Here is a 7,492-nt window from a genome sequence, read left to right as displayed (position 1 = left end):
GTTTTCTGACCTCCTGCTCTTGACTTTCACCTTGCCAGCTTCTCTGTTGACATGACAGGGAGGGAAGAAAGCAAATAACATTAACTGAGCATCTACTATATCCCAAGATTTTTCATAAGCTCTGTCTCATTTAATCCTGGAACAGCCCCAGGAACCAGGCACTATTCTTGTTCTCATCTTACAGAACTGTTGTCCAGGCTGATGGTCAGTGGCACAAGCACAGCTCACTGCAGCCTAAAACTCCTGAGCTCAAGTGATCCTCCTGCCTCAGCCTCCTGAATAGCTGGGACTACAAGTGCACGCAACCATGCTCAGCTAAGCTAATTTTGCTTATTTTTGTAGAGATGGCGTCTTGCTATGTTGCCCAAGCTGATCTTGAACTCCTAGGCTCATGTGATCCTCCCAGCTTGGACTCCCAAAGCGCTGGGATTACAGGTGTGAGCCACCGCATCTGGCCCCTTTAAGTTTCTTGCACTGGAAGGAATTAATCTTGCAGACAAGACGCTGTCTGAACCCTGTAGCCTCCGGAAGAGCCACCCAACCCCCAAACTCCCAGCCAAGGAAAAGGTCCTCAGCCTGCTCTTGCCTGGGGTGGATGACTCATTTTTGAATCACAAAAACAAGCAGAGGGTAAGACGTCTGTCTGGGCTGAGCAGCTCTCATTTTGGGGTGGGGAGGGGCTGTGAGCAGGATGATGGCTCTTAGTGACATCAAGGAGCTATCAAGTGACATCAAGCAAGGATCCCAGCCTGGCCGCTTCGTCAGTACCACATCCTCCGGCACCCAGTGAGTGATCGCCCTGTGACAAAGGGCAGCTTCCCTTCTAGTAGCAGACACAGGCAAGATTCCACTCCAGTGCATTTCTCCACCCCGCAGCACCTGGGGCCTCCCCAAGCCTCCGATGCTCAGGGGCTCCCCTGGGCACTGCAGCAGCCTTCACCAGTCCTTCTCTGCCCCTCGCGCGCTCCCATCCGTTCTCCCCAGCATGCAGCTAACCTCCAAATGCTGCCTGGATACTGCTGCTCCCAGCGTAGCTCTACAGCCCACCGTTGTTCCTGGTTTGAGAACAAGTTCATTGCCCTGTTCTGCAAGACCCTGCTCATAGGGTTACCAAATAGAAAACAAGATGCCATTAAATTAGAATTTCAGATAAACAACGAGTTATTATTATCAGTAGTAGTAGTTTTTGTTTTGTTTTGTTTTTTTGAGGAAGGGTCTCACTCTTATGGCCCAGGCTGGAGTGCGGTGGTGCAATCTCGGCTCATTGCAGCCTCTGCCTCCCGGGCTCAAGCAATTCTTGTGCCTCAGCTTCCCGAGTAGCTGGGACTACAGGTGCACACCACCACGCATGGCTAATTTTTGTATTTTTAGTAGAGACAGGGTTTCACCATGTTGGCCAGGCTGGTCTCGAACTCCTGACCTCAGGTGATCCACCAGCTTTGGTCTCCCAAAGTGCTGGGATTACAGGTGTGAGCCACCACGCCCAGCCCAGTAGTAGTAGTATTTTTGAGACAGGGTCTCACTTTGTCACCAAGGCTTGGAGTGCAGCGGTGTGATCACGGGTTACTGCAGCCCGAACTCCTGGGCTCATGTGATCCTCACCTCAGCCTCCTGAGTAGCTAAGACTACAGGCATGTGCCACTCTGCCCAGCTAATTTTTAATTTTTTTTTTTAGAGATGGGGGCTCTTGCTATATTGCTAGGCTGGTCTTGAACTCCTGGGCTCAAGAGATTCTCCAACCTCATCCTCCCAAAGTGCTGGGATTCAAGGTGTGAGCCAGCATGCTGTGCTCAACAATGAATACTTTTCTAGTGTGAGTATGTATAAGTATGTCCCATACAGCACTTGAGACACACTTATACTAAAAAAGTATTTGACTTTTTCCTGAAATTCAAGTTTAACTGGGCATCCTGTATTTACATTTACTGAGTCTAGCAACCCTACCGCCCGCTCCCTAACTTCCTATCCTCCCCACATGCCCTCCTCCGAGCTCCAGCCCTCCAAGGCCTTCCTGCAGTTCTGGAACTTACCATGTCCCTTACCCCAACAGGGCCTGTGCACAGGCTCTTGCTGCTTCCTCTTGTCCTTTCCCTCCCACCCGGCCAGGCAAATTCTACTCAGCCATCAGACCTCAGCGTGACCCACTAGCCTCCACGACCCAATCAATGCCTATCTCGGACACTCACAGGACACCCCCGCCCATTCCACTGATCACAGTTGTGGTTTTACACCCAGGCACGTGCCCAGCGCTGTGAGCAGAAGTCCATGCTACAAGGGCGGGCTGTGTCTGCCTTGTTTGCTGCTGTGTCCAGCACCCAGGGCAGGGACCACCACACTGTAGACTCCCAGGAAGCAAATGTCCCATAAACAAATGAGCCAGCTCCCGGCCCAGGACTGCAGAGCCCAGTGGAAGCCCTGCCCAGCTCCAGAACCAGATTCCATAGGCTCCGAGACCTTGCGACACCCCCACGAAGCATTCCAGGTCCCTTTTTTTTTTTTTTTTGAGACAGAGTCTTGCTCTGTCACCCAGGCTGGAGTGCAGTGGCACGATTTCAGCTCACTGCAACCTCCGCCTCCCGGGTTCAAGCAATTCTCCTGCCTCAGCCTCCCGAATACCTGGGACTACAGACATCCACCACCACGCCCAGCTAATTTTTTTTTTTTTTTTGTATTTTTAGTAGAGATGGGGTTTCACCATGTTGGCCAGGCTTGTCTCAAACTTGTGCCTCAGCCTACCAAGGCGCTGGCATTACAAGTGTGAGCCACCATGCCCGGCCTCCAGATCCCTTCTTGTTTGCTGTGGGCAATAGCTTAGGAGCAGAGCCTATGTAGCAAAGCCGGTTTGGGGAAATAAAGTTTGCAAATCCTGAATAACAACCCATGGCTCTGTATCACTGTTTACAGTTTTATTTTTCGGACAGGAAAGAAACTTAGAGTTAACCATTTGGATGAACTGATAAGGCTTGGAAAATCTGTCCAGCAGTTAGTTTTGGGGGTGTCCTTCCATGAGCAGCAGAGAGATGCTTGGAAAATAACAAGGAGACCAAGCTTGGATCCAGCACCTTACAAATACGTGCATTTGCTCATCGATGCAGACACTATCCTCTGATGTAGAGACCTACGGATGGGGAAACTGAGGCTGACACAAGCTCAGCTGCCCAAGGTCATGCAGCGAGTAAGTAATGAAACCAGGCTGGAACCCAGTGCTAGAAAAGTTGTCGTCTTTTCCACTCTGTCTTTCTGAGAACCAATTCAGAAACAAAAGAACACTCCAAGTACCCCCGGATCCAAACACCTGAAAGCCTGGAGAGTGGAGAGAGCAGGGGAGGAGGCCACTGCTCAAAGCAAGGGCTTTTCTTTGTGGCTTTTGGCCTGAGGCTAAGGGTGGCTGACAAAGTGCAGGCACCAGGCCACAGGGACTCCAGGGGGATTCCGGCCACATAATCGGAAACCTCAGCTTAGGGAAGATAAAGATGTGAACTGAGACAGGAAATGTCGTCCTAGCAACAGGATTTGAAGTTCAAATTCCACCAAGCTAACTGCCTGCTAAAACACAAGAAACAGCACTCATCAGAGAAAAAGCCCAGAATGGTCACAATTTAGCATTCCTTCTGTCCAGGTGTATTCATCTGCTATTGCTGATGTAATGAATTTCCACAAACCTCACGGCTTAAAAACACACATTGATCATCTCACACTAATGTAGGTCTGAAGGGCTGTGTTTCTTCTGGAGGATCTAGGGGAATCCATTTCCTTTCCTTTCCTAGCATCTAGAGGCTGCCTGCATTTCTTGGTTTGTGGTTCCTTCCTCACAGTGCTTTTACCTCTCCTTCCATTGTCACATCTCCTTCTCTGCCTCTGACCCTACTGTTTCCTTATTATAGCGGACCCTGTGACTATAATGGGCCCACCAGGATCATTCAGGGTAATCTCCAAATCCCAATCACATACAGAAAGTCTGTGTTGCTATGGAAGATCACATATTCACAGGTGCTGTAGATTAGGATGTGGACATCTGCATTAGTCTGCTCTCACACAGCTATAAAAAACTGCCCTTGCCGGGCGTGGTGGCTCATGCCTGTAATCCCAGCACTTTGGGGAGCTGCAGTGGGCGGATTATCTGAGGTTGGGAGTTTGAGACCAGCCTGACCAAAATAGAGAAACCCCATCTCTACTAAAAATACAAAATTAGCTGGGCGTGGTGGCGGGTGCCTGTAATCCCAGATACTCAAGAGGCTGAGGCAGGAGGATCGCTTGAACCCAGGAGGCAGAGGTTGCAGTGAACCGAGATCACGCCACTGCAGTCCAGCCTGGGCAACAAGAGCAAAACTCCATCTCAAAAACAAACAAACAAACAAACAAACAAACAAAGACTGCCCAAGACTGGGTAATTTTTAAAGGAGAGATTTAATTGACTCACAGTTCCACATTGCTGGGGAAGCCTCAGGAAACTTAGAATCATTACAGAAGCCAAAGGAGAAGCAGGCACCTTCTTCACAGGGCAGCAGGATGGAGTGAGAGTGAGCAGGGGAAATGCCAGATGCTTATAAAACCATCAGATCTCATGAGAACTCACTCACTCTCATGAGAATAGCATGGGGGAAACTGCCCCCATGATTCAACCACCTCCCACTGGGTCCCTCCCTTGACACAAGGGGATTATGGGGATTACAATGCAAGGTGAGATTTGGGTGAGGACACAGCCAAACCATATCAACATCTTTGCAGGGGGGAATCTGCGGGAGATATTATTCTTTTCACCACACCAGAATATAATCCAAAAATTACTTGACATTAAAAAAAATGAAATGAAAAAAATTCTCAAGAGAAAGTAAAGTCGACTGAGACAAACCCCAATATAAACTAGATATGTTAAAACTGGAATACCAAGATTTTTATACCAACTATTAAAACTTCTAATAAAGTTTAAATATATGTATGTGTGTGTGTATATATATGTATATTTAATGAAAACATAGGAAATCTCTACAGAGAATTAGAAACAAAAAAAGGACCTGATAGAATTCTAGAACTGAAAAATGTAATATCTGAGATGAGAAATTCACTGGGTGGACCTTTAAGAGCCAAATGGAGAAGGAAGGCTGAAGAAAGACTAAATGAACTTGAAGCAGATTAATAGAAATTATTCCATGCAAAACACAAGGACAATAGTGATTTAAGAAAAAAATGAACAGAGCCTCAGGAATGCATTTAAATAGGCAAGTGTCTGACACACATGTAAATGGAGTCTTAGAGCAGAGGAGAGAAAGAATGGGACAGAATAATATTTGGAGAAATAATGGCCAAAATTTTTCCAAATTTGGTGAAAGAGAGAAATGTACCGATGCAAGAAGCTCAATTAACACCAAGCAAAATAAACACAAAGAATCCCAGACCAAGATACATCCTAGTCACACTGTTGAAGCCAAATTAAACAATGCAACTTGAAAGCCACAAGAGAAAAATAACACATTGCATATAGGAAAACAACCATTCCATTAATGGCTGACTTTGTATCAGAAATTATGGAGGCCAGAAGGTGTGGAAAAACATCTTTAAAGTGATGAAAGAAAAAAAAACAAAACTGTCAACCAAGAATTATACATCCAGGGAAAATATCCTTCAAGAATGAAGGCAAAACAAATATATCTTAGATAAAAGAAAGCTGTGGGCTTTGTTGCCAGCAGATCTGCACTACAAGAAATGCTAAAGGAAGTTCTTCAGCCTGAAGGGAAATGACACCAGATGGAAACTCAGATCCTCAGAAAATAGGATCTGGGTGCCTGCAAAAGACAATTATCTTCTTTTTTCTTTATTCCTCTTAATTTCTTTAAAAACCATAGAACCATTTAAAGAAAAAAACTATAACCTTGCCTTGTGGGGTTTATAATATGTGTGTGTGTGTGTGTGTATACACACACAAATATATATATGTGTGTGTATACACACACAAATATATATATGTGTGTGTACATGTTACATACAACAACTAAGATAAAGGATGCAGAAATATGAACTGACACAATTGCAAGGTTTCCACATTTTAAGTGAAGTTGTACAACATTAACTGTAAGTAAAACATTAAAAGTTAAGGACATCTATTCTAATCTCTATAGCAACCATTTTAAAAATGCAGACAAGTTTAGCTAAAAAATCAATAGGAAAATTTAAATGGAACTCTTTATTATTATTTTTTTTAGAAGAGTCTCACACTGTTTTCCAGGCTGGGGTGCAGTGGCATGATTACGACTCACTGCAGCCTCGACTTTCAGGGCTCAGGCAATCCTCCCACCTCAGCTTCCCAAGTAGCTGTGACTACAGGTGTGTGCCACCAAATCTGGCTAATTTTTTTAAAAAAATTTTAGTAGAAATATAGTTTTATCATGTTGTCCAGGCTGGTCTCAAACTCCTAGGCTCAAGCGATCTTCTCACCTCAGCCTCCCAAAGTTTCTGGAATTACAAGTGTAAGCCTGGCCTTAAAACGGAATTCTAAAAAATATTCAGATATTCTGTTTGTGTTTTGGAACAGAACAGAAAAATAATTAAATGGTGGACCCAAATCCAATCATATCAGTAATTACATTAAACATTAATGAAGTAAACACTGAAATTAAAAGATAGAGTCCATACAAAATTATAGGAAAAAAGAATGACCAAACTATATGCTGTCCTCAAGAGAAACAATAAACCATCGATAGACTGAAAGTAAATGGATAGGAAAAACAACATGCAAACAGTAAACATAAGAATGTGGCTATATTAACATTAGATAAACTTCAAGACAAAAAGTATTACCAGAGATAAAGATGGACACTTCTTTATGTTCATAAAGATGGACAGAAGAAATATACTTTTCTACATTTTTTTATATGGTTGCTATAGAGATTAGAATAGATGTCCTTAACTTTTAATGTTTTACTTACAGTTAATATTGTACAAATTCATGTAAAATGATAGAAGGGCCAATTAATCAGAAAGACATAACAATCATAAATGTATGTGTACCTAATAACAGTGCCTCAAATTACATGAAGCAAAAAGTACCAAAATCAAAGGGAGAAATAAATAATACTACAATCATAGATGGAGATTATTAATACTCCTCTCTGGGCATTGATAGAACAACAAGGCCAAAAAAAAATTATTGAACACATAAAAAGTGTGAGCATCACTAAAAATCGTCTTCACTTAATTGATATTTGTAGAACACTATACCCAACAATGGCAGAAGACATTCTTTTTAAATGTCTTTTTAAAGGCACATTTTTTTATTTTTATTTTTTTTTGAGACAGAGTCTCGCACTGTCTCCCAGGCTGGAGTGCAGTGGCGTGATCTCGGCTCACTGCAAACTCTGCCTCCCAAGTTCATGTCATTCTCCTGCCTCAGCCTCCCAAGTAGCTGGGACTATAGGCACCCGACACCACGCCTGGCTAATTTTTTGTATTTTTAGTAGAGGTGGGTTTTCACCGTGTTAGCCAGGATGGTCTGGAT

At 44.0% G+C, this 7,492-nt stretch overlaps 2 annotated features.

Moving 5' to 3' along the window:
- Positions 317 to 958: an enhancer, noted in NCBI's record as "H3K27ac-H3K4me1 hESC enhancer chr20:56347451-56348092 (GRCh37/hg19 assembly coordinates)". NCBI's record gives its function as "activates a minimal SCP1, AML or CMV promoter by ChIP-STARR-seq in primed H9 embryonic stem cells {active_cell/tissue: H9 hESC(primed)}" and the evidence as "EXISTENCE:reporter gene assay evidence [ECO:0000049][PMID:30033119]".
- Positions 959 to 1,602: an enhancer, noted in NCBI's record as "H3K27ac-H3K4me1 hESC enhancer chr20:56346807-56347450 (GRCh37/hg19 assembly coordinates)". NCBI's record gives its function as "activates a minimal SCP1, AML or CMV promoter by ChIP-STARR-seq in primed H9 embryonic stem cells {active_cell/tissue: H9 hESC(primed)}" and the evidence as "EXISTENCE:reporter gene assay evidence [ECO:0000049][PMID:30033119]".

Source organism: Homo sapiens, chromosome 20 (genome assembly GCF_000001405.40).
Source record: "Homo sapiens chromosome 20, GRCh38.p14 Primary Assembly".
NCBI lineage: Eukaryota > Metazoa > Chordata > Mammalia > Primates > Hominidae > Homo > Homo sapiens.
The sequence above is the reverse complement of the archived record's forward strand: the minus strand, read 5'-3'. Positions and strand labels throughout refer to the sequence as shown.